This window comes from Homo sapiens, chromosome 20 (assembly GCF_000001405.40).
Source record: "Homo sapiens chromosome 20, GRCh38.p14 Primary Assembly".
NCBI classification, from domain to species: domain Eukaryota; kingdom Metazoa; phylum Chordata; class Mammalia; order Primates; family Hominidae; genus Homo; species Homo sapiens.
In genome coordinates, this window is record NC_000020.11 from 61,653,168 (window position 1) to 61,679,246 (window position 26,079).

General features: G+C 54.5%; 1 protein-coding gene across 5 annotated transcripts in view, besides 3 other annotated features; it reads left to right on the forward strand.

Annotated features, from left to right (window-relative positions):
• Window positions 1-26,079, forward strand: part of CDH4 (cadherin 4) — a 688,357-nt gene that overhangs the window by 400,907 nt on the left and 261,371 nt on the right. The gene's annotated exons all lie outside the window — the stretch shown is intronic.
• Window positions 3,222-3,402: a silencer, noted in NCBI's record as "fragment chr20:60231445-60231625 (GRCh37/hg19 assembly coordinates)". NCBI's record gives its function as "represses an EF-1alpha promoter that drives an FKBP-Casp9 reporter gene in an ReSE screen in K562 erythroleukemia cells {active_cell/tissue: K562}" and the evidence as "EXISTENCE:reporter gene assay evidence [ECO:0000049][PMID:32094911]".
• Window positions 8,958-9,471: an enhancer, noted in NCBI's record as "H3K4me1 hESC enhancer chr20:60237181-60237694 (GRCh37/hg19 assembly coordinates)". NCBI's record gives its function as "activates a minimal SCP1, AML or CMV promoter by ChIP-STARR-seq in naive H9 embryonic stem cells {active_cell/tissue: H9 hESC(naive)}" and the evidence as "EXISTENCE:reporter gene assay evidence [ECO:0000049][PMID:30033119]".
• Window positions 9,472-9,985: an enhancer, noted in NCBI's record as "H3K4me1 hESC enhancer chr20:60237695-60238208 (GRCh37/hg19 assembly coordinates)". NCBI's record gives its function as "activates a minimal SCP1, AML or CMV promoter by ChIP-STARR-seq in primed H9 embryonic stem cells {active_cell/tissue: H9 hESC(primed)}" and the evidence as "EXISTENCE:reporter gene assay evidence [ECO:0000049][PMID:30033119]".

Sequence of the window (26,079 nt, forward strand, 5' to 3'; positions counted from 1 at the left end):
TTTAACAAAGCACATCTTGCACCGCCCTTAATCCATTTAACCCTGAGTGGACGCAGCACATGTTTCAGAGAGCACAGGGTTGGGGGTAAGGTCACAGATCAACAGGATCCCAAGGCAGAAGAATTTTTCTTAGTACAGAACAAAATGAAAAGTCTCCCATGTCTACCTCTTTCTACACAGACACGGCAACCATCCGATTTCTCAATCTTTTCCCCACCTTTCCCCCCTTTCTATTCCACAAAACCGCCATTGTCATCATGGCCCGTTCTCAATGAGCTGTTGGGTACACCTCCCAGACGGGGTCGTGGCCGGGCAGAGGGGCTCCTCACTTCCCAGTAGGGGCGGCCGGGCAGAGGCGCCCCTCACCTCCCGGACGGGGTGGCTGGCCAGGCGGGGGCTGACCCCCACCTCCCTCCCGGACGGGGTGGCTGCCGGGCAGAGACGCTCCTCACTTCCCAGACGGGGTGGCTGCCGGGCTGAGGGGCTCCTCACTTCTCAGACAGGGCGGCCGGGCAGAGACGCTCCTCACCTCCCAGACGGGGTCGCAGCCGGGCAGAGGCGCTCCTCACATCCCAGACGGGGCGGCGGGGCAGAGGCGCTCCCCACATCCCAGACGATGGGCGGCCGGGCAGAGACGCTCCTCACTTCCTAGATGGGATGGCGGCCGGGCAGAGACGCTCCTCACTTCCTAGATGGGATGGCGGCCGGGCAGAGACGCTCCTCACTTCCTAGATGGGATGGCGGCCGCGCAGAGACACTCCTCACTTTCCAGACTGGGCAGCCAGGCAGAGGGGCTCCTCACATCCCAGACGAAGGGCGGCCAGGCAGAGACGCTCCTCACTTCCCAGACAGGGTGGCGGCCGGGCAGAGGCTGCAATCTTGGCACTTTGGGAGGCCAAGGCAGGCGGCTGGGAGGTGGAGGTTGTAGCGAGCTGAGATCACGCCACTGCACTCCAGCCTGGGCACCATTGAGCACTGAGTGAACCAGACTCCGTCTGCAATCCCAGCACCTCGGGAGGCCAAGGCTGGCAGATCACTCGCGGTTAGGAGCTGGAGACCAGCCCGGCCAACACAGCGAAACCCCGTCTCCACCAAAAAAACATGAAAACCAGTCAGGCGTGGTGGCACGCGCCTGCAATCGCAAGCACTCGGCAGGCTGAGGCAGGAGAATCAGGCAGGGAGGTTGCAGTGAGCCGAGATGGCAGCAGTACAGTCCAGCTTTGGCTCGGCATCAGAGGGAGACCGTGGAAAGAGGGAGAGGGAGACCGTGGGGAGAGGGAGAGGGAGAAAAATCAAGACTTTTTAAGAAACTTTAATTGTTGATTAGTTGTGTATTTACATTGTATGAGAAGCAATATAATCTTCAAAACACAGTCATATGTAAGATTCTTTAACTTTTCACCTGGCTCTTTTGTAATTTATTCCACAGTTTTATTCATTAGGTGTCTCTTAGTCCATTTCCGAGGTTCGTTTGGCATCAAAAACAACTTCCTAAAAATGTTTACAAAGGAAAGTTTACAAAGGAAATTAAGTTAATCAAAGCAGGATACGAATTCTGTAGGGAGTGTGGTCTCACCACTGTCAGCTTTGCCCAGGATGGCCAGCGCCAGTGGCCGTTAAACCAGTGGGCAGAGCTCTCCATGCACCAGCACAGACTGGGGGCCACGCTGCAGCCCGGGAAGGGGCTGTGCAGGGCCAGCTGCTCCTCTGAGACGGGCAGACCCAGCCCCGCTCTGGACAGGGACACGGGGGCCTGAGCCAGCCTCGCTCTGGACAGGGACACGGGGGCCTGAGCCCATGGAAACGCGTCTGCGGAGTCCCCAGTGCTGGCTGCTGTGGGGAGGAGGCGACACTGGGTCCCAGGGTGGAATTTCAGTGTCTTCATCTGAGTCAAGTTTTGCTTGTTATCTTGACAAGGATATTACGTTTGTAACTATATTAATAGCATGTGTATGTGTGGTAGGTACACACACGTAATTATGTATGCAGGCATATATGTGTATATGTCTGCTTGTGTGTATTTCACATGGGAAAACGGCTGGACACACACCTGAAAATAATCACCAAGGGTCCTTCTCAGGGTTGGGATTGTGAGTGTAATTTTTGTGCTTTAAAGTTGTATGTGCCCTGTAGTTTCCAGTGGATGATATATTACTTCATTGACACAAAGTATGTAAATATCATTTTTTAAAGTACACACTGACACACACACTTACACACACACACATACACAGAACACTCATTTCAGCCTTGCGGAGAGTGACAAGGCAAGTAGGATCCAGTTAAAAGAAACGGCCATCGTTCCAGGCATGGCTGTCCCAGGACAAGGGGCCTCTTTGACCACTGCCGTGTTCTCCTCTCTCTCTGGGATGAAAGCCCACTTTCTGGCTGGGCCCTAGCTTCAGGAAGGGGAAGCAGAAGGCAGTGCCCACCGGCCAGGAAGCTCCACTGGCCAAGAAGCTCCGCTGGCTTTTGTTGTTAGGTTGTCAGTGTGTTCCATCAGTTGGTCAGCTCTGAAAGCAGCCTCCGTGGGTCATTCATTCATTCATTCGTGGGCCAGGCCCTGTTCTGTCCTGGGCATGGGGATGCTGCAGGGTCAGCCAGCACAAGTCCCTGTCCTCAGGGACCAGGTTGTCCCATCACCTGCAGGGTCACCTGTATCACCTGCATGCAGTCGGTGAACGGCACAGCCCAGGTGAAGTGTGTGGCTAATAGAGAGCAGCCGAGCTCCAAGGCTGCATGTGCCTGGAGAGGACGTGGTTCTGAACATCACCTTGTTGTAAGAGTGTGAGAGGCTCGAGGGTGACAGCTTCAGATATCGTGAACAGTCCTGAAGGGACCCAGACCACATGAAGCCACATCACCCTGGAGGAGTGAGAGGGGCTGGTGGAGCTGAGCCCTGCTTTGGTGGAAAGTGTGGATGACATGAAGGTGGTTGAAGACTGGCTGGAGACGAACCACCCACCGTGCTCTCTGACATGCTCTTGCTTGGGATACACAGCAGGGTTTGCACTCTTAGTTAGGATGTTGCTTGGGAATGCATGCTGAGGCGGGCAGGCGCGTGCTGGGGTGGGCAGGCGCGTGCTGGGGTGGGCAGGCGCGTGCTGGGGTGGGCAGGCGCGTGCTGGGGTGGGTAGGCACGTGCTGAAGTGGGCAGGCGCGTGCTGGGGTGGGTAGGCGCGTGCTGAAGTGGGCAGGCGCGTGCTGGGGTGGGCAGGTGCCTGACTGGAGTGAGCAGGTGTATGCTGAGGTGGGCAGGTGCATGCTGGGGTGGAAAGGTTTGTGATTGGGTGGACAGGTGCGTGTTGGGGTGGGCAGGTGCATGCTGGGAAGGACAGGTGCATGGCCAGTGTGGTCAGGTGTGTGGCTGTTGTGGGGCGCAGCCTCCCCTGGCTGAGGCGTGGGTCAGTGTGCGTCGTCAGGCTTCTCTAGCTATGGTCATAGGGGCCTCTGGGCTCCACAGCCACTCTCCTGGGTGGGTAGATGTGCTTCCCTGTGTCTGACCAGGTCACCTGCCATTCTGCATCGAACTGAACCTCAGAAAATCTCTCCTCCCAGGATCGTCCCCTGCATTCGTGAATAGGAGGTGATGCCAAAGGCAGGGGTCCATTCCTCCAGGAAAGCTGCTGTGTGGCTGCGGGCAAGTCCTGTGCCTCAGCTGTGAAAGGACAGAACCAGCCCAGGTCTTAGGCTGTGTGCAGAGGCTTGGGACACAGGTGCATGTGGAGGCTGCCAGCCTTCACAACCATCAGCGCTCCATGTTGTCACTGCCCAGAAACGCCCACCTGGGATGCACTGGACACACCTCAAAGCAGTTGAGTACAGCTGAGGCCCCCAGAGGCATGTGTCTTAGAGCATCTGCAGAGTCTAGAGCCATTCTTGGGCCAGAGCAGACGCCTGGCAATATTTGAGCAAATCTAATGACTGGGCTTATGCCAAACGCACGCTCAGTCCTTTAGGGTCCACCCAGAGGGATCATCCCTCCCACCCAGGGCTGCGTGGACAAGACCTCTGCACCCTCCTCTTCAGGAGTCAGATCTCCTTCTCATCCTATCTCATGCAAATCTGTTTTTGACACAAACTTAGCTGCTAACAAAACAAGGTTGATTCTCCTACATGCTCTGAATTACGTACGCAGAAGGAGGCTCTGCTCCCCAAACGGGTTGCTTCCACAGAACCTCAAATGGTAACCTGTACACACTTCGCAGATGTATCTTTGAATAACTTCTATAGTTTAGGGGTTATAAAGATACAACCACAAGACTATTTTCAAAGCACCTTAATAATGCCGAGCTTAACCTATTAGTCTTCTGCCCTTTTTTCTCATTTACCAAAAAACATTCTAAAGGATCTCTGCGGAGGCAGATAAGTAGTCTTCCAATTCCCCAGATGGGGAAAACGTGGGGCAGAGTTTCTCCTGCCCTATTCAAGGTTACTGTGAAGGAGAAGACAAACTGTCCTGGAAAGATCTACAGAAGTTGGATGGGCCTTCCATGGCTTTGTGCATTGACATCTGTGCTTTGCTGAAGGGACGTCGATCAAAATGAAGATATTTGCAGAATGCTTAAGAATATAAATGCAGCATTCACCTCGTAGTAAAATGTGGAGCTACATGGGATTTGTGATGGGCCAAAAATCAATAGTGTTAAATCCATGTCAGTAAAATAACCTAATCCTTTAAAAATACAGTGCTGTGCCCATTTGTGCTACGTCACGGTGCCGGGCCTGGGAAGGACACATGTGGAGTGAATTAGAGGCTCGTCACCGGTGGGAGCCAATGGCACTGTGTGTCTTGTGGTTCTGCTTTATGACCCTTTACTGGAGGGAAGCAGAGTGGATTAAGGGAACAGGGCCCCACACAGCTGATTATTTCACCAGCTAATAAGTCTCCCAGGACCCCAGCCAGGCACAGGAGCTCCAGCCTTCCTGCAGGTGCTAAGATCTGGCTGCGCTGTTGGCTGTTGCTTCCCCTGGAGGCTGCTCTCGCTTCCAGATCTCTCTATTAGAGAGGGTTCAAATGCATCTGCAACCCCCGAGCCATCCTCCCTTCCAAGTTCCAGATCTCTATTAAAGAGGGCTCCATCGCACCTGCAACCCCCGAGTCACCATCCTCTCCGAGCTCCGGATCTCTGTATTAGAGAGGGATCCAACATGTCTGCAACCCCGAGTCATTGTCCCCTCCGAGTTCCAGATCTCTCTATTAGAGAGGGCTCCATCGCAGCTGCAATCCCTGAGTCATTGTTCCCTCTGAGCTCGCAGGTGCCCAGGCACCTCAGAGACACTTCCTTCCACTTGGGGTGCTCTGATCTATAGGCTCCGGGTGGGATGAGTGTCCAGGGTAGGACCCCGGGAGCCTGCCCTGCACAAAACTCAGGAGGCCGAGTACCTGCAAGGAGCAAAGGATGGGTGGCCCAGGTCGTTATACACACCAGTGTGGCCCTGGGCAGGGGCTCGCCACCCCATACATGTCCTGGCCCAGGAGCCCTCCTGTCTCAGCACCAGCTGGGGCCCGGGCTTGGGGGTCTGGGGCAGAGCTGTCAAAAGCCCAAGTACCCAGGAACAAAGGAACTGGATAGTCAGAGCTGGGGGAAATACCACCCCCCCACTCCCAGGCAGCAACACCCACAGTGGACATGGAGGCAGACAGGCCTGGTGGGTGAGGCCGAGGGAGGAGGTTGTCCTGTCCTAGTGAACCCAGGGAGGACCAGGGTAGGGGGGAGTGACATGCGGAGAAGGTGTCCCCACAATTCAGAGTGAACCCTTAGATCTCCCTACATCTGTGGCCCCCGGAGCAGCGGCTCACCCTCAAGGCGTTTCTAACAGGCCCCCAGGCTGCTGTGGCTGGTCTTGAACTCATGGTGAGAATCAACCTCATACTCCAATAGTAGCTCCCAATCAGTCTAACACTAAACTGTTCACGGTCGTAGCACCCAGAATGTATTTGATTGGTAAGTGAAATCAATAACAGCAACACCCAAGAGACAGGAAGGAGGGCCTGGGACACGCCACGTGAGGCCCTGCACCACCCGTGACACTCGTGGGGGTTTGAAAGTGGACTTGGATTCTTGTACATCGGGTTAGTGTAGATTGCAAACTCTAGGGCAACCACTAAAACATTATGAAAAGAAGCACAATTGATCCGCTACGGAGAGAAACAGAGTTTTATAGAATGCTCATTTAAAACCAGGGAAGGCAGAAAAAGAAGAAAATGAAAAGAAACAAAGAACAAGTGCAGGGAAGAGAGGGGCTGCGCTGCCCCCCACCTGGGGAGGGGTCTGCTCAGTGGGGCCTGGAGGAAGCTGCCTGCTTCCTGGAGCTCTGGCCTGGCTTTCAAGTGAGCGAAGGGTCTCAGCGGCTTGGAGACAGGAGGAGGGTGGGCCTCAGGCATCCGAGGCTTGGAGGCAGGAGGAGGGTGGGCCTCAGCCATCTGAGGCTTGGAGGCAGGAGGAGGGTGGGCCTCAGCCATCTGAGGCTTGGAGGCAGGAGGAGGGTAGGCCTCAGCCATCTGAGGCTTGGAGGCAGGAGGAGGGTGGGCCTCAGGCATCCGAGGCTTGGAGGCAGGAGGAGGGTGGGCCTCAGCCATCTGAGGCTTGGAGGCAGGAGGAGGGGTGGGCCTCCGGCCCAGGAGCTGGGGCAGGCTGCTTGCAGCGAAGGCCTGGGTGAAGTGGGCGGGCAGAGGCAGGGCTGCAGCTGCAGCCTCTGGAAAAGGAAGCAGCTCCACCTTCTCCTTTGGCTTCCTCAGTCTGTCCCCACCGTGTCTCCTGGCCCCTCCCCAAGCCTGTCTCTGTTCCTGAGTTGTCTATTCCATGCACAGTGGTGGAAAAGCTGCTGAGCAGGGTTCTGGACTCCTGCTTTTCCGGCTGTGATACCCGCTCCCAAGGGGGCAGCTCCTCGGGGATCTGCACCAGCGGTCTTCCACCCCGGAGCTAAGGATGGAAACACCCACAGGTGGCTGCGGCCGGCTGAGCCTTGGGTGACGTGGCGACCTTCCTTTCTCTGACCTTCGTCTCTGGGTGGCCCAGCAGCCCCCATGGGAGCCAGAGGCCGCCCCTCCCCGTCTTTCCTTCTTGTCTTCCCCTGCCTTGGAGCGTGGCCCTGCTGCCCTCCACTTACAACAGAAACGCCCGCAAGGCATCTGTTCTCTTCTTATCAAACAAAGAGTGTTTAATAACTATAATTAATTCACTTTGGTGCTCCTATGAATCAGACATATTAGACAGAAGTCAGTGAATGTTAGCAGTAAAATGCCTCGAAGTGTTCATCATCGAAGGCAGGTGACGCCGGGACTCGCTTGCACCTCACTCTTGGTTCTGCTTTCCCCCAAGTCCTGCGTGTATCCATTTTCAAACATCAGCCGTGGCAAGTCTGTTACATGTGGGTGCGCCTGACTGTTTGAATATGGATTGTGTTTGCAGCTCAGGAGGCAGAGGGGTGGACGGGGCGGTCGTTCCCGGCAGGACCTGTGGGTTCGTGGATGTCACTGAGTCTGGACCCTCTGAGTGGGATGCGACCTCACTCTTGGCTTGGGTCCCAGAAGGCCTAGTCCTCAGCCACCCTGGGCCACCCGGGTTTTGTTTGGCTGGCAGTTGCTTTATACCTGGTTGTTACATTGAAGAAGTAGGTGCTTCGTGGAGATACCTGGACTCCCGCGTGGAACACCCAGCAGGGGTGGAGGAGCCTCTTTGCCCGGTTTCCACAGTCCTGGCAGCTCCACCTGGGCAGCCTTACCGGGACTCATGGTCCCGCAGCCTCTGGAGTTTGTGACTTTGCTCAAGGCCAGCACTAATGAGTCCTCCATCCTTTTCTGCTCTGAATTGCTACTAAGAGCAGATTCTAAAAAATTCTAGTGGCTTTAACAGGATCATTGCCAGAAAGAAGCCATGGATGGAGGGAGGCGGCATGGACAGGAGGCATGGCGGGGGGGGGGGAGACACAGTGCCAGGCTCATGCCAGGTGGGTGCGGTAGGGCAGCTTCTTGCATGTTGCACCTGCTCCCCAAGCTCCACCTGGGAAGGGCCAGAAGGGCCATGGCTGTCACCGTCAGCCGGTGGTTCCGCCCGTCTGGGAGCTGGGAGGCCAGCACCCCCCAGGCTCTCACCAGGCCACCTCTGCAGGGCCAGCTCAGCCAGATGGGAAAGCTGGATTTTGCATCATAAGTCTTGTGTTTTCAGCTTGGAGGGTGGAAGTGAGCACATCATTCTGCCTCAACAACAGGAGGGAAAATGTCGCAAACCAAAACTAAGTCTCTGTTAGAACAAGGTGGTGCTCTCAGATAGCCCTTTAAGTGGGCTTTGCTTTCTGACTTTTTTTTTTTTTTTTTTTTTTAACACTCATACATGTCAGAGTTGGGTCTATAAAGAAACTCTTCTTTTTTAATAGCTGGAGGAAGGGCCTACAGTTGATGCCATCTGCGTCACGGGCATGATCTGACATGCGTCTTCCCAATTAACCCAGGATTAAAAAGAGGGTCTTAGGACCATGGATCCTTCGTGTTTGTCACCTTTGCCTTTGTGTTTGTCACCTTTGTGGCAAGTTGTTGCAAAGACGTCACAGCCACCGCACACATTTCCACTTTGGGTCTGGACTGACCATCTTTGAGTGTCCGCCCATCATTCACCAAACACTGACGCGGCTCGTATGACAGGCCAGGTCTCTGGCAGGTGCGGAGGGTGGGTGCGCCTTCTATGGATCCCCATTTAAATGACCTCATTCACTTGATATTGTGCCGCGGTCCTGTAACATGCAACTGTTGTAGGCACTGGGCAAAGGGTCCACAGGGCCTCCCTTTGCAACTCCCTGTGAACCTCAAATTCTTCCAGGGTACATGTTTTTTAAAAGGTTAATTTGTGAAACCCCAGGTGTGTTGGAATGTCACATCCTATCTGCCTTCCCAAGCTGGGTTTCTCTGGGATTTACCTCCAAGAAGCAGCCTTCCATCCCCCACCACAGGCACAGACCTCCCCTTTGAACCCCAACTGACCCCCCTAATCTGCCATGGCCTGGTGTGTGATCGATGCTGGTAGACCATGCTTTGAGGGAAGTTGTAAAGACAGAGTTCTTCCAAACTGGACCTGCGCTGGACTGCTTGGTGAGAGCGCGTGGGAATGGCCGTGGCAGAGGTAGGCCCTGGGCCCCTTTCTGGAGCCATCGCTGGCTTCCTGGAGCCGCACAGCGCAACCTCTGTCAGGGCAAGTGTAGCACCAGGTTGTGCTGTCCAATTAATGATGAAACAACCTGTCCTCAACGTTCTCAGCTCCGTGCGCGGCTTCACCATTCCGAGCTTGGGAGGACGAGGGCGGCTGCCCAAAGGCACAGGGAAGAGAAGCCTGAATGAGACTCGGACTGAAAGGGACAGGAGCTGGGGGCTGGGGGGCACAGGACGAGCACACAGAGGCCCCCTGAGTCCCCAGCTGTGGCTGTGTGCCTGGAGGACTGGGGCGTGAGGAAAGGACATCTCGCAGGGCGTCAAGTGCACTCAGTCCCCAGGCTGATTAGAGAGAGGAACGGACAGTGTCTGAGGTGAAGCTGTGCCCAGCTGCTCGCGTGGCCAACACAGGGCGGCTCACCTGGACTCCGGCCAGCAAGACTCGGGATGGCGAGGGTACCTGTGCACGCAAATGGGAGGTACCGTTTCCTGCAGCACCCCAGGGAGGCTCACACAGTGCCCTGCCCTCCTATCTCCATGTCCGCCTACAGGGTAGAGCCGGTGGTGCAGGCCCAGGATCGGGACACAGGTCCAGCAGAGGACTGTTAGCGGTCCCTGACTCAGCACCCATCTCTGTCCACTGAGACTCTGCCTGTCCCTCAGGGCCTCTCCTCCTCCCCTCCCCACAGGCACTGGCACAGCGGCCCGGGGTAGAACCCATGGCCCTGACTCACCTCCCCCTCCACCATGGTATTGATGACAATGCTGCCCAGCGCAGGCAGTGTCGACATGAAGCAAACCATTGTTAAAATATTGACTGGAGGAGAAATGGAAATGAGGCTACTGGGCCTGCAGCTCCATGAGTGTCCACGCCTCCGTGTGTGGACTGATGAGGTAAACGTTCTGTGACAAAGCCCCTGTCCCAGAGGAGCTTTCATCGAGGGCTTGGCGCCCACGACAAATGAGTCCACGCAGGAAAGGAGTGGCACCCGCAGGAGGCCTGTGCTGCGGAGCTCCTGGGAGGGTGACGCTGGGGCAGGGGCTGCTGCGGACAAGCGTTGGGAGGCCTCTCTGAGGAGGCAGTGTTTGCGCTGAAACCTAGAAAAAGAGCTGCGTAAAAGACAATAATTCTGAAGGCTCTGGGTCGGGGGCATTTCAGGCGAGGGTCCTAGAAATGCCAATGCTGGGGATGCCGCCGAGTGGGTCAGAGGGGCCGGAGGAAGGTGAACAGGGCAGGGGGCAGTGGGGCTGGATTTTATCCCAAGTGAGTCGGGAGCTGCTGGGACGGCAGGACCGGGTGTGTGTGTCCAAGAGACCATCTTGGCTGCCCAGGGGAAGCGGGGACTCGAGGAGAGCAGGGAGTGCTGTCTTCCCGGCGGGAGCTGGCGGTACTGAGGAAGGACGTGCAGAACCAGGCAGGGCTGACAGACGCGGGGTCGGGGGAAGATCAGGAGCTCCCGGTGTCCAGGCTGCACAATGTGGGCACCACTGAACACGGGGTAAACCAATCACCAGTCACTCCCACGCTGGGTCTTCCAGCTCCCTCGAGGCCGCCCTGGCCCTCCACACTCCCACCGCTGGCGCCAGCATCTGTGCCCGCGGCAGTTTAGAGTGACACTGTCCTCTGTCCAGCACCGGTCCACGTTGAGGTGTCTGTGTGCCACCGGGACCCTTCCGTAGACATGCACCATGAAGACCAGGCCTGGTGACAGGTGCTGAGGGGTCCAAGGGCATTGTGTGGGGGCTGACCGGGCCTCAGTCAGTGCCAGAGAGGACGCCCTGCATGTGTGATTTCCACTGACCCTGCACCGTGGGCCATCCCAGCCTCTCCCCAGTGGAAATGCCTCCCTGCACAGGGTCACACCACTTGCCTCTAGAATCCACCCACTGGGAGAGCAAGTCCAAGGCAGACCCTGGGCCTGTCCGCCCACCCTCCTGGAGCTGTGCTGTCACCTGCCTCTTGACATCCACATGCCCCAGGCATTGCAATGGCCCCTTGTTTATTCCTGTTGCTAGTTTTAAGTCAAAAGCAGGATGGGAAGGATAGGGGACTCCTGGGCCTGGGAGTGGGGTGGGGGCAGAAACCACAGCTGGGGCATGGGGAGAGCTGGTCCCCACTCCTGTGTGGCTGAACACCGCGGCCTTTGCAGCATTCTTCCTTGAAGATCTCCGAAAATGCAGCAGCCTGCATCAGCCGGGCTGGGAGCCGGGCCCAGGAGTCTGGTTTTAAAGCAGCATGCGGAAAGCTGAGAACCCACACCGCATCAAGAGACCCAGGAGCAGGTCTTGCCCCCAAGACCCTCACACGAACACTTCTACTCCCTGAGATGCTTGTGTTCAGAGATAGAGCCTGGGCAGCCCAGAGAAGTTCTCTCAGCCAAGATTCTTCCAGTGACATCTGTGGACGTTGGCTCAGAGCCCAGGCTTCCACCTCAAACACCCTGCCCCAGTTCCTTCCTTCCAGGGGTCTGCCTGCTGAGAAATCAGCAGACTCCCAAGAAATCCATAATCTGTTGCTCTAATGTGGCGTCTTGGTGTCCACAATTTAGACCAATCTTTTCAACACTTATTTGGAAGAGGAAAGCAGCATGAACTGAATGAAGTTTCTTGAAATTAGCAACAGTCATCATATCTGAACAAAGAGGCTGCCCAGAAAATAAGTTTGACAGTTGAAATTACTTCTACCAACCCATTCGTCTGAGATTGAGTAAATGAAAATCTCTAGCTGCCAGGATGTCACCACGTGGGGACGTCGCTGGCACGGGTGGCTCCTCCCTGAGTCAGAAGGGAGGTGGGACGAGTTGAGAAGGACAATCCAGCCGGATCCGGGTGCCGCAGCCTGAAGGGCCCGTGTCTGTTGAGCTGATAGTGGCGTCTTGGTCACACATCACAGACGGGAAGGCGAGCACCATGCTGGTGGGCTGGGGGCGGCCTTGGCCTCCAGACCCAGGAAGCTGCCACCAGGGCTCCCGCCCTTCAATTCGGCAGCTGTTTCTGCTGTTCTCTGGCTTGGCCAGGGTGCTTAATGCTCACTCGTGAAATGGCATACCCAACAATTTGACCTTTCATCAGTTAAGCGATGCTAAAAACAAAAGCAGCCTGGATGTGCAACTGTGGGTTGAGGGGAGGCTGCCCGCAAAGACCAGGGTAGTTTCTCATCAAGGGTTTGCCTTTGAATTTGCAGAGTGCCTTCTTTCCCTGGGTTCTCCCTTTTCGGAGAGCCGAGGTCCCCGTCAGATCTCCTAGTGGGTGATAAATTCCCCCCATGAAGCTCACGTCCCAGGCGGAGGGGCCTGGAGCATCCACCAGCAGCGCTTTGTGATGATGGATGCGAACGAGTGCTCCCGGCAGGCTCATGTTTATTCATTTTTGATGAGGTGTGCACGCAGCCAAGGGCAGCTGAGCTGTCTTACAATACACGGGGGTCACCTAACATCGGATTTATCTCCGACCTTTGAGTGTCTACAGGCAGGCTGGTGGCTGCTGCATGCACAGCGTACACGGTCCTCCAGCAAACCACAGCTGCATTCTCTGGACCCTGGGAATCTGCCAAGCGATATTGGCTGTCAGGAAGCCCAGGAAAATCGCAGCGGTGGGACCGAGGGGCACCTGCGGCTACATATTAAGGTCACGCGTTGGAAGGTTGGTTCCTGCAGTTCTGGGCGGGGTCCAGGTGGGAGAATGGCTGGGGACTCCAAACGCTGACCCTGGCCATCCCATACCATCCAGCCAGCCCCACCCAAATGGACGTTGGGGCCCAAATCCCACTTGTGTTTTCCAAAACGGCAGACAGAAACTGCAAGCCCCATCTTAATCCTGGCTTGCAAGTAAGGCCATGGCCTCCTGCCCTCATCGTCAGGCTATTCTTGATTTTCCCTGCCAAAAAGTGGGGTGGCTGTTGCCACACTTTGTCCAACAGCAGTCATGCCTCCCCACAAGAGATGGCTGCACAGATGAGAGCCACGGTGCCTGGAGCTGGGGAGTCGGCCCTGTAGACGAACTTGAAATTCACCTGAAGAAAAGCTGCTAAGTGAACACCAGCTGCTGCCGGCACAGCCAGGGCCACTGCGTCCCTGCAGCCCGAAGAAATCCACTTCTGCCCTTGGTGCTGGAGCCAATCCCACTGGCAGTGCACAGGCATCAATGCTATGACTTCCATGAAAACAGCCATGGGCTCAGGCGGACAGACTCCCTACAGAGGGAGGATGATGGCATGGCTGATGCTGGCCGAGGTCCACTGAATTCAGAGTCCACATGGAGGACGGAGCTGAGGCCTAGGGCTCACAGAGGCCACATCCGCAGAACTGTTGCTTCCGGAGGGCCAGCCCAGGCAGGACTAGGGACTCCAGGAGGGATCCCATCCCCCTGCAGAGCCCTGAGAACCCCCTCCGCCCCAGATCGCCACTCTCCACACACAGCTCCTGGCTGACCAGATCTTACCCTCGATGGGGTGTTGGGAATCTGCCGGCCACAGTGGCAGGAAGCTGCTCACAGCTCACTGTCAGGAAAGGGTGAAAGAGGCATGAATCCGAAGACAGCAGAGTCTGGGCCCAGCTTCCGCTTCCCCTGGGAGTGTGGTTACACTTGCCAGGGTGGGGGTGCTGTCTTGAGCAAAGCCTGGAGAAGGGTGAGAAGCATCCCTCACCCGCACACCCGGTCAGTCTGTATGTCCAGACGACTGCTCCCTGGCAGCCCACGCAGTGCTGGCACCACAGTCTGTATGGACCGTGCCCTTTGGGCATGACGCCACCATCTCATAAGCTGCACCCAGGGTCCCTGTGGATGTGCTTGATCAGAGAAAATTGGGACAATGTGATGGAGGCAAAGAAGGGGCCGGTCAAGCCAGCACCTGGAGCCACAGTGGTGTGGGAGGCAGGGAGCATGGGGCCACCCCACCCTCAGGAAGGCTGAGAGGGTCTTGGGCAACCAGGTATGTGGAGAAACAGTCGGCCGGGATGGCCCTGCTCACGGAGCCCTCGATGCACATCCCGCCCACCCTGGGGCTCCGCATGCAGCATTTCTATGCACACCATCCTCACCATTCTGTGAGCCAGGGACCACCATGAGCCCTCTTGACAGATGAGGAAACCGGGGAACAGAGAAGCGGGGTTGCATGTCAAAGGTCACAGAGCCAGAAAGTGACTTGGGACTCAAAGGCGGATCTTTCCGCTTTCAAACCTGTTTCCAGAGAGGGTGGCCGGCACCAGATGCTGGCATAATGCGCCCAGACGGCCCCACTGCACCAGCTGCACATGTGAGCATACACGTGTGCCCCCACACACACCCTGGGAGGTGATGGCCCAGGACTGGGTAGGGCCTGGGCTTTGTGTGTGGCACACACACACACACCTGCACACGTGCATGCACACTCATGCCCTGGGAGGCAATGGAAGGGGTCGGGCTGGACTCGGGTCTTTATGTGCCCTATATCCTGCTCTCAGCCCACTGACCTTGCTGCTGGGTCCTCGGTGAGTTTCCTGGACAAGCAGGCCAGGAAGAGTGAATGAATGCAAGGGCAGAGGAGCAAGGAACTCGTTCTGAACAGGAAATGCACGTCTTAAAAGCAAGACTGCAAGGCGGAGGGACCCCACCAAGTCTGAGGCTGCCAAATGTCGCATGTGGCTGTCAGGAGGGCAGCCAGGGAGATGATCATTGCAGACATTAGAGTAAGTGCTCTTGAGAGGCTGGAAGCACTTTGTTGCCCAAGGCTTCTAAGACCAGAGAGATGCTAAGTGCTTCTATATTGAAAAGAGTGAGCATTCCTAATTTGTTAGGTCCCTGCTATCTTTTAAATTCTCCAACCCTAAGAGAAGAAAAGCCCTATTCTCCTCCAGAGGTCAGGTTGGGTATCATCCCAGGGAAGCCGAGCTTTTATGCTGTGTGCGCCCATGTGTTAGTGTGTATTTATCTAGCGGGAGGAGCTGGAAGCTGTAGGTGCAAATGGGTGTGTGCATGTGGGTGGATGTTTATCCCTCTATTGACAGACAGACACGCACATGCATGTGCAGGCAGGGGGAATTTAGCCCAGGCTGCCCCGAAGCCGCAGAGGATGCACCTGCCTGGAAAAGGAAGCACAAAACCCTCTGCACATGACCCTGAGAACACACGGTGAATCCAGATTTTAGAAGCCAAAGCAGTGCCCTGTGGAACCAGCTGCCCCTGCTGGAGGCTGTCGTGGGGCGTGCTCACCACTGGGGCCCATGTGCATGCTGTGGAGTCTGATGGTGCTGGGTTGTCCAGGCTGCCAGCACCTGCTGGCCACTGCTGTCCAGGGCAACTCCTCCTGTGTACATTCCCCCAGCCCCATGAGAGAAAAAGAGACTGGGGTCAGAGAGGTGAAATGGCACACCCAAGGTTAAGCAGCCTGGGAGCTTCACTGCTGTAGGATCAAAGCCCAGGTCTTCAGAGAAGGTTGCACTGCATGTCTGCACTCCAGGGGGATGCTGGTTCCAGGCCCCTGGGCCCTCCACTTACCGCTTCTTGCTTCCCACTGCTGAGTGCTATTGCAGAATCATCCAGGGAGAAAGGAAAGGATGCAAGGAAAACGTACTTAGGATCCACCAGCAGGCCCGGGTGCCTTCCACCAGCACCCGCCTGTTCTCATCAGAGCACCGTCCGCCAGCCCCTCTCTCCAGTCTGTCCTTGGGACAACCCTGGGAAGCCAGTGGGACAGGTGTTCCAGGAGGACCCCTGTCCAGCGAAGCTCAGGGCTGCGGCAGGCCGGCGGCAGGTCAGGTCCTTCCTTCACCCTCGGGGATGGTGCCTGCCATAGCCCTGGGCCTCCTGGAACCCACGTTCTCCAGCAGTAAGTTAAGGAGCGGGCATGGGCACACCTCGGGGCAATAATTCCCTGTGAAGGGCATTCAGAGCACTATGGGATGGAGAGGACAGGCTTCCCCAAAGACATGTGACTGTGGGCCTGGAGAGTTAAAGGGAGCCAGTCCCGTGGAGGATGCAGCACCGGCACCCCACACAGCGAGCACCACAAGTGCCAAGGCAAGCCTGGGCCAGGGCAAAGCCTAGCAGGTCCACCATCTGGTGACCGGCGGGATGGGAATGGGAGCCTGGAGGAGGGCCCAGGCCACAGAGGGCCTTGGAGGGAGAATGCACCCAGGAGGGAACTTAGGGTTTATTCTCACATCACTGGGAGCCTCTGAGGGTTTCAGCAGGAGTGGAGGCTGTCGATTTAATTGGAACTTAGGTGGCCTATGCCTCAGCCCCTGTTTTCAAGCCCAGAGGAAGTAAAGAATGGAAGGAAAACTGAAGAAGGGTGGCTCAAATCCCATCAGAAACTTATCCGGTGTGTAATGTTCCTGGAGAAGAGAAGCTCTTTCCTGAAAGTCAAATCTACCACTGAGCCAGAGTGATCTTTTTCTTTAAATGCTCTTCCTTTTGCTGGCAAAAGAGGGTCCTCCCTCTCAATCTTCCCGTACCCTCCGCTACAAAAGACTTTAATGAAAATAACTTCTGACAGCTGTATTTTTGAGAGACTGATCCAGGATGGGATGTGACATTTCAGTATAAATAAATTGTATAAATCTATGCAGGACACGGCTCTGGGAGCAAATAGAAGAGCGGGTTCTGCTCCCATGAGGTCACTGGTGGACCTGAGCTCCAAGCATGGGAGGCAGCCTGAGACAGTGTGGACCCTCGAGCTGTGTGGATCGGCCAGGCTGCAGCATTAATACCCTTTCTAGCAGGAGCTGATCTAATGAGTATGAGGAATGCATGACCCCCAAAGGTGGTGCTGACAGGAGGCAGATGCTGGCCAGGGCATTTCCAATTGCAGGCAATAAAACCATAGCTCCGAGTAGCTGGACAGCATGGCTGCCACATGACATGCAGGGAAATATGGATTTCAGGAATGGCTAGACTCAGGTGCTCTGCAACACCACCAACAAGCTCTCGCTGCTTCCCTTTGAGTTGACTCTGTGCTCAGGCAGGTCCTCACCCCCATGCTGGTCCCCAACAGCTTCTGACTTCTGTCCTTAAAGTTCAGTAGGAAGAGAAAAACTGTTTTCTTCCCCCATAGTTCCAGGAAAATATTGGGAGTGACTGTCATTGTCCCAGCCTCAGTCATATATCCACCTCTGACCTGGTCATGGGGTCTAGGCCATGGCCTCTGTGCACTGGCCAGACCAGCATCACGTGTCCCCTGATGGAGCCAAGGGTGAAGTCAGCCCATTCACCAAATGGACCAAGATAACAAAGGAGTGGTTCCCTACCGAATACTGGAGGTACCATTGCCAAAAGAGGAGGGAAACATCCAAAGCTTTGTCCAGCACTCTAGGAGGATGCTGGAAAAAGTGCAAAGCACTTGTTTTTGTATGGGGAGTGCGAGGCTGATGAGGCTGTTCAGGAAAAGCAAAATCAAAGTGGTTTGTGAGGATTCCCATGACTTCTGTGGCCATTCTTATGGGTGGGGCCCAGGGTGTCAACGAGGATGAGGGAAAGGGATGGAAATGTGGGGAAGTCTGGGGCACTGTTCTCCTGTTGATACGGGATAGAAAGGAAGGAAGGGGCTGGGATCAGTGGAGTGAGGGGTTCCAAACAGGTTTTGCTGCATCTCAGCTCCAAGGCCTTCTCCACAAAAGGAAGGGCCCCTAGGAGGTAAGACTGAGGAAAACAGACTCAGCCCTAAAAAACCTGTGAGTGTCCAGGTATAAACTCTGGTCCCTGCCCTTAGTGAATTACATGTACATATCAAATCCGGCTGCACAGTTAACAGTCGAGTGTGTATGGCATAAGGGTGAATGGATAGGTAGATGGAGGGATGGGTAGATGGGTGGATGGATGATGAATAGGTGGATGGGTGGATGCATGATGGTTGGGTGGATGGGTGGGTGGATCCGTGGATGAATGGATGGATCATTGGATGGATGGATAAAGAATAAGTGGACCAGGTGCAGTGGCTCATGCTTGTAATCCCAACACCTTGGGAGGCCAAGGCAGGAGGATGGCTTAAGGCCAGGAGTTTGAAATCAGCCTGTGCAGCATAGAAAGATCCTGTCTCTACAAAAATTAATTTTAAAAATTAGCTGGGCACAGTGGCACACACCTGTAGTCCTAGCTACTTGGGAAGCTGAGGCAGGAGGATTGCTTGAGCCCAGAAGTTCAAGGTTGCAGTGAGCTGTGATCGTGTCACTGCACTCCAGCGTGGGCAACAGAGTGAGACCTGGTCTCTAGAAAAAAAAGAATAAGTGGATGGATAGATGGACAAATGGATGGATGGATGATGAATAATAGACGGATGATAGGTTTGTGGATGGATGATGAACGGGTGGATGGATGGATGGGTAGATGGATGGATGGGTGTGTAGATGAGTGGATAGATGGGTGAATGGATGGATAATGGATGGATGGTGGATGGATGGGTGGGTGGGTGGATAGATGGTAGATGGATAAATGAATGGATGGGTGGATGGATGATGAATGAATGATGGGTGGGTGTGTGGATGGATGATGGATCAATGGATCGATGGATAGATGATGGATGGGTAGGTGGCTGGGTGGATTGGATGGATGCATGGGTGGAAGGTGGATGGATGAATGGATGGATGGATGGTGGATGGACAGATGGAGGATGGATGGATGGATGAGTAGGTGGATGCAGGATGGATGGATGATAGATGGTGGATGGATGTATGGTTGAATAAGCGGGTAGATAGATGGATGAATAGATGGGTGGTTGGATGTATGGATGTATGGACAGATGGGTGGATGGGTGGATAGATAGATAAATAGATGGATGGATGAGTGGATTGGTGGGTGGGTGGGTGGGTAGGTGGTTGGATGAGTGTATGGGCAGGTGAAAGGATGGATGAATGATCATATGGGTGGATGGGTTGATGGATAGATGAATGGGTGGGTATATGGATAATGGATGGATGATGGATGGATAGATGGGTGTATGAATGCATGGATGATCGTATCGGTAGATGGGTGGGTGGGTGGATAAACAGATGAACGGGTGAGTGGATGGATGGGTGTGTGGATGGACAGAATATTCCTCCAAAAGCATATCAGGTGCTCTGTACGTGGTAGGATTGTGTGCCAGGTGCTGTCCCTGTCCTGGAGATTCCAAGACGAATTATGCAAAGCCCAGTCCATCAAGGAGCCCTCCGCAAAGTCAGACACACAGACTTCAATCAGGTGTGTATGTGTTGCACAAGAGGGTAGGCCCTGTCCGTGAAGTGTGTTCACAGCTTCCACCTCCAGCACTGTGCTTGCTGTGTAGTAAGGGCTCTGTGAGAAATGAGGTGTGATTCCAATGAGTGAAACTGCCCATAGTCAGGACAACACCTGAGACCACGGGAGGGGCAGCAAGTCTGAGCCGAGTCTCTGGGGTGGACAGTGAGGCATCTGCCAAGGGTGGGAGTTGGTGCTGAGCATCCCTCAGGGTCACTGGCAGAGACTGGAATCTTCACTGGGAGGGGTGGGAGAAGATTATGGAGCATCCCTGGGAACCCGACGGGGCTCAAGGACTGGGGCCCTGTGTCCCTGCTCAGCTGGGAACTGCAACCTGACAGGGATCAAGAAGGGAATGGGTGAGGCGCAGGCCTGAGGGGAGGGGAAGAGGTGGGGAGAGGAGGAGGTCATCCTGAGTTATCCAGTGGGTCCTAAATGCCATCACTAGTGTCCATAGAAGAAGAAGAAGGAGGCAGGAGAGTGACAGAGAAAGAAAGAGACGCAGAGAGAAAGACAAAGATAGCATCAGAGAGAGAGATTGGAAGATGCTGTGCTTGAGGATGAAGGCAGGACCAGGAGTGGGGATGCAGACGGCCTCTAGAAACTGGAAAGACAAGGAAGGGCTTTCTGGCCTGGAGCCCCCAGAGAGAACGCAGCCCTGCCCACACCTTGACTTCAGCTGCCCCTCCTGCACAGTGACCTCTAGAGCGCTGAGATGTTTTTGGCCACCAGACTTGTGGTTATCATCAGAGCAGCCCTAGGAGGCTCAGGACTTCGGAGCCCCTGAATCTCAGCGGCAGCTGCAGCATGAGTCCATCCTGGAAGGAATCCAAGGACAGCTCAGGGCCAGCACCTGCTTCCGGGGCAATCTTTTTGTGCCTCCTTTTAAAGGCCCACGTGAAGGGCATGGTGCTTATCACCGTGGGGCACACAGGGAGGCTGCGTGCCTGGGCCCTGCCCTTCTGCTCCTAGCAAGCAAGGAGGCAGTTGAGGAGCCTGGCGGTTTTCACCTTAGATGAAATGTCAGGTCTGATATTCCGTGGGAGCAGCTACATCTTTGTTAAGGTCTCATTATCTCAAGAACACGTGTCCAGGGCCCAGAAGGCCGCCCGTTCTTGAATATTTATCCATCCTTCCTGGGTGACCAGCCTGGCAGGCTGGGGAGGGTCTGGCGGTTGAGTGCAGAGTTCATTAGTCTGATTCAGCATGTCTCAGGTTCATGGTGCTTTCAAGAGACATCATGAAATAAATTCAAAATGGGTTATGGAGATGCCCACAGAGCAAATAACACGCGCAAATTACCTCGCTGCTAAGGGGGAAATAAAAATCACATCTCTCTTCTAGACAATATGACAAAATGAGACAGAAGTCAGGGAAAATGTCCTTCAGGAAATCAAAGTCCTTGCATTTGCATCCTGTGACGATCTCCTCCAAATTGGCACCCATTGAAAGATTACATTTTTCAGTCTTAACATATATCTTAAGAGAAACAAATGGAAGTCCTCAAAAGAAGGCCTGATCGGGAACAAACCTGTTTTTCACATGACTTGAAAGGGCTGCCTGGTTTTGGGGGTGTGCAAATGAGACCTTATTCCCTAGCTTTCTTCTGCAGCCCAGAATCTGTTCAGCAAATACTCCCCAAGCCTGCCTGGCCAGGCACCGAGCCCAGCACAGCACACGCAAGGAAGAGCCAAGACTAGTGGAGCCCCAAGCCTGAGCTGCCCCGAGTCCCGTGGGGCGGAGAGACACAGGGTGACAAGGGCGAGGTGGAGGAGAGGTGGAGGGAGGGGTGCCGAGCTTGGAGCAGGAGTCACAGCATGTTGTGTCGTGCTGGTCACAGGGCGTCCAGACCAGGGCCCTTGTGGAAGCAGCATCAGGCTAAGGAGGGTGGGCATTAACTAGAAGGCTGGGAGTGACAGGCAGCAGGCCTTTCGTGCAGACAATGGGAAGGACACATGACAGTTCACAGGGAGCAGGAGAAGCCGGCTGCTCAAGAGACCCTGGGCCCAGTGCTCAGCAGGGCCCACCACTTGGGGCCACCTCCACCAGCACAGTCCCATAGAAATGGCATAAGAGCGCTTCTGTATTCTTAAATTTTCAGGAGCCACATTCAAAAAAGTAAAACAGGCAACATCCTTGTTAATGCTATATTTTATTTAACCCAATATATCCAAAATGTTCTTTCAACATCCAGTCCATATGAAAAATTGTTCATGCGAAATCTGACATTCATTTTGGGGAGTGAGGACTGCAAAGCCTTATGTGTATTTCATGCTGATTGACTGCTCAGCCCAGTTAGAACCAGCACAGCCCTAGAACCTAGACTGTGGTCGTCAGCAACCTACAGTCCTCAAGCCAAGTCTGGCCCCCTGCCTATTTTGTAAATAAAGTTTTATTGGCACACAGCCATACCTATTCCTGTACGTATTGTCTGTGGCTGCCTTTGCCTCTGCTGTGGACCAGGTGAGCAATTAGAAAGAGACATTGTGGCCCACCCACCCACAATATGTACTGCCTGATCCATTACAGAAAATGCTTGCTGCCTTCTGCTCTAGACAGAGATAGAATGGGGTCTTCATTCTAGCAGTGCAGGAAGGGGCTAGGTCTGAGCGACGTGTGACAGGCTGCTGTTTTTTGGCAGAAATCCCTGCAGCTGGTAGATGTGGCATGAGGTTGGGTGGAGGACAGCTCAGGGACAGGGTTAGACGGTGTTGTGCCCACCTCTGCTTTGGGGAGAAGGAAACAACCATCGTAGGGGCTGAGGCTTTGGGCTCAGCCAAGCACTCCCATGGAAACAACCATCGTAGGGGCTGAGGCTTTGGGCTCAGCCAAGCACTGCCGTGGAAACAACCATCGTAGGGGCTGAGGCTTTGGGCTCAGCCAAGCACTCCCGTGGAAACAACCATCGTAGGGGCTGAGGCTTTGGGCTCAGCCAAGCACTCCCGTGGAAACAACCATCGCAGGGGCTGAGGCTTTGGGCTCAGCCAAGCACTCCCGTGGAAACAACCATCGTAGGGGCTGAGGCTTTGGGCTCAGCCAAGCACTCCCGTGGAAACAACCATCGTAGGGGCTGAGGCTTTGGGCTCAGCCAAGCACTCCCGTGGAAACAACCATCGTAGGGGCTGAGGCTTTGGGCTCAGCCAAGCACTCCCGTGGAAACAACCATCGTAGGGGCTGAGGCTTTGGGCTCAGCCAAGCACTCCCGTGGAAACAACCATCGTAGGGCTGAGGCTTTGGGCTCAGCCAAGCACTCCCGTGGAAACAACCATCGCAGGGGCTGAGGCTTTGGGCTCAGCCAAGCACTCCCGTGGAAACAACCATCGCAGGGGCTGAGGCTTTGGGCTCAGCCAAGCACTCCCGTGCTTTCAGAGTTTGAGGCCAGGGTGCCCCTCACTGTGCTTTCCAAAAGGCCCACCTGCACTGTGGAGGGTTGCTCTACCTGGAGGCCCACTGCACACTCAGCCCAGCTCTCCCCTCCTCCTGCCCAGAGCACAGGCTCAGGCTCCTGGCACTGCCTGCTTAGGACCCTCAGACGGCCTCAGGATGTCACAGATAATGTAATTGGGCAGTCGGTGGGGGGAGCCTCAGCGAGGACCGAGTGTGGGGTCCAAGGTCTGAGACTTAATTCCAGGTTCTCTGAATGGGGCCTGCCAGTTCGAATTTGCACGTGCAGAAAATCACATCCTTCCGTCATTCCCATTAACATTCGCCTGGTGTCAGGAACGGTCAGGAACGGTGGGCTGTAATTGACTCAAGTCTATTTGCCAGCCACAAAGACAATCTTTATAAAACTCAGGTTAGGAAATGAATAGTGCGATTGAATACTGCGGCCCCCAGAGGAGGTGGGATTGCATTAGCACCTTCTTTCCATTCCAATTTGGATCTTCCAAGGCATCCATCTTTACCTGAAAAAGAAGGTGGATGGGGGAGGGATGGTGTGAACAATGGAGGCCCGGGGCTCCCTCCTCCTGGGTCTACCCCTTTAGGAGCAGGGTGGAGGGGGACAGACAAAAGGGAGGTGAGAAAACTCCTTGTCTGCAGGGATGGGTCTGCTTGGAGACCCCGGGTCAGGCTGTGACAGTGCCCTGGCTCTGTGCACCCAGCCAGGGTTCACTGAGTGTACCTGGCATTCTCTCAATTCTCTGCACATGCCCTCAACAAACAAACTCAATCCCACACACCCCCAGGAGCCTATGGAAGTGACCAGATGATAAACCTTGATGTAATACAAATGTAAATGATGCTGCATTTCAGAAGGTGGTGTTTGCTGCGAGAAAGGGAAAGTGGGATCAGGATGAGGCTTGGAGTGGAAGGGGGTTGCTGTTGTCCAAGGGGAGGTCAGGGGAGGCCTGGCTGGGTGGCCTTTGCCAGGGGAGGCCTGACTGGGTGGCCTCTGCTGGAGGACCTGATGGGGTGAGGTGGTGGGCCAGGCTGCAGTGGGACCAGCGGTCCAAGACCTTGGGGCAGGAGGGGCTGTGGTGTGGCCCCAGCAGAGCAGACCAGGAGGGTGCTGAGGACCAGACAGAGAGAGGACAGGTGCAGTAGGTCCTTCGTAGGGCCTTGTCACCTGTCATGAGGACCATACCTTTTACTCCGCATGCGGTAGGGAGCCTTGGAGTTGAGGACCCCTGGGGTGTGCAGTATACGCAGGAAGAATGACTGCTGGGACTCCCCAGGGTGGAGCTGGCTGGAGTAGGGGAAGGAGCAGGGCCCTGGCCTCTGTGATATCTGCGAGCAGGGCAGACTCCTGGTTCAGATTCAAGTACAGGAAAAGGGCATTTAACTTACTTAAGATGACAGCCTGTATGCAATGCACGAGCAGCGCCATTTGCAGGCAGCAAACGTGCTCAACCCTCAGCACCAGGCACACAGAGAAAGCGGCCTCCCTTCTGTGGGAGGGCCTTCCCTCCAGACTCCTGCCTCACAGCATGCAGTTCACTTTTACTTTTTGTTAATGTGTTATAGTTGGTGTCAATGTATAGACCTGACGATAATACAACTGTCTTTTTTAAACAAAAAAACACAGCACTTTACACTTTAGATTTTTTTACTCATTCAGACTACCTCCTTCTGCAGCAGGCACATCCCCCTCAGATCCAAGTTAAGAGAGGTTAGTGGGATGCATTCTAATGACAAAAGGATAAGTGGGTAGGTAGGTGGGTGGGTGGGTGGGTGGACAGACGGACGGACGGACAGACGGACGGATGGATGGATGATAGAAGATAGGCAGGTAGGCAGGTGGATGGGTGGATAGGTGGATGGATGGTTAGATAGATGATGAATGGATAGATACATGGATGATGGATGGAAGATAGATGGATAGTGGATGGAGGACAGATGATAGGCTAGATAGATAATAGATGGATAGATGATGGATAGATGATGGATGATGGATGATAAATGATAGGTGATAGATACATTAGATAGATGATGGATGTTTGGAGGAATGGATGATAGATAATAAATTATAGATAGATGGATAGATGATACATAGATGGATGACAGAAGATAGATAATAGATGGATAAATAGGTAGATAGATGGATGATGGATGGATGATAGATGCTGCATGCATACACACATAACATATATTTTGGATGGATGATAGATGATACATTAGAAGACGGATGGAAGATAGAAGGATAGGTAGATAGATGGATGATGGATGATGGATGGATGATACATAGATAGATGCATGCATGCATCCACACATACACAGATGACAGATACATAGATTATGGATGGATAGATAGATGGATGATAGATGATAGATGAGATAGATACATGATGGATGGATGGGTGGATGGATGGACGGATGGATGGATGGATGGTAAATATAAACGTAGATCAGTATAGACATGGGTATATAGAAGTAGCTTCATAATTTTCTGAAGATGGTAACTGGGTAATTGGTTCAGAATCTTCAGAAGGAGAGTAAGTAGACAGGAAAGCTATCAACAAGGTCACAGACATTAATAATGCGAAAGTGTGGTGGGCGCAATGACACCAGGTAGCCAGGAAAGTAAGCATCTCAGCAACGCAGTTTCTGGGTGCCCGTGTCAGTTTCCTGCACTGCAGTAACAAGTGCCACCAACTGGGCACCTTAAAATGACAGAAACATCTTCTCTCCTCGTCCTGGAGGCCGGGAGTCTGAAATCCAGGTGTGGGCAGGGCTAGCTCCCCCAGGAGGCTCCTCTGGGAGTCCGCAGCAGCCCCACTCAGCTCTGGGGCTCCAGCTGCCCTGGCGTCCAGTGGCTTGAGGAAGCCTCACCCCATCCCTGCCTCCAGCCTCCCATAGCCATCTTCTCCCTGTATGTCCTTTTCTGTTTCTTATGAGGATGCTCTCATTGGATCCAGCATGAGCTCCAACTCTCCTTGCCTCTAATTACACTGGCAGATAAGGTCCCATTCTCAGGTTCTAGGAGGACATGAATTTGGGGGACACTATTCATCCCTGCAGTGTCCAAGAGGGAGAGTATGAAAATGACTCAGGTTTTCTTTTTGCCCTGTGGATTTCACACGTGTCTCTGAAGGTTGCCTAGGGTTCCGGTTGGATCTGTCTTGTTCCTGCCGCACCCAGAGCCCGGAAGAGCGAACAGCACACACGGTGACAAGGGTCAGAAATGCTACCAGGTTGGGTGGGTCAGTGGCTGCGTGGCATGGCCTGGTGTTTGCAGTTCACACTCAGCGTCCACCTTCCATCTCTGTCTCCTCATGGCCTTCCTTTCCTCCATAAAACACATCCCT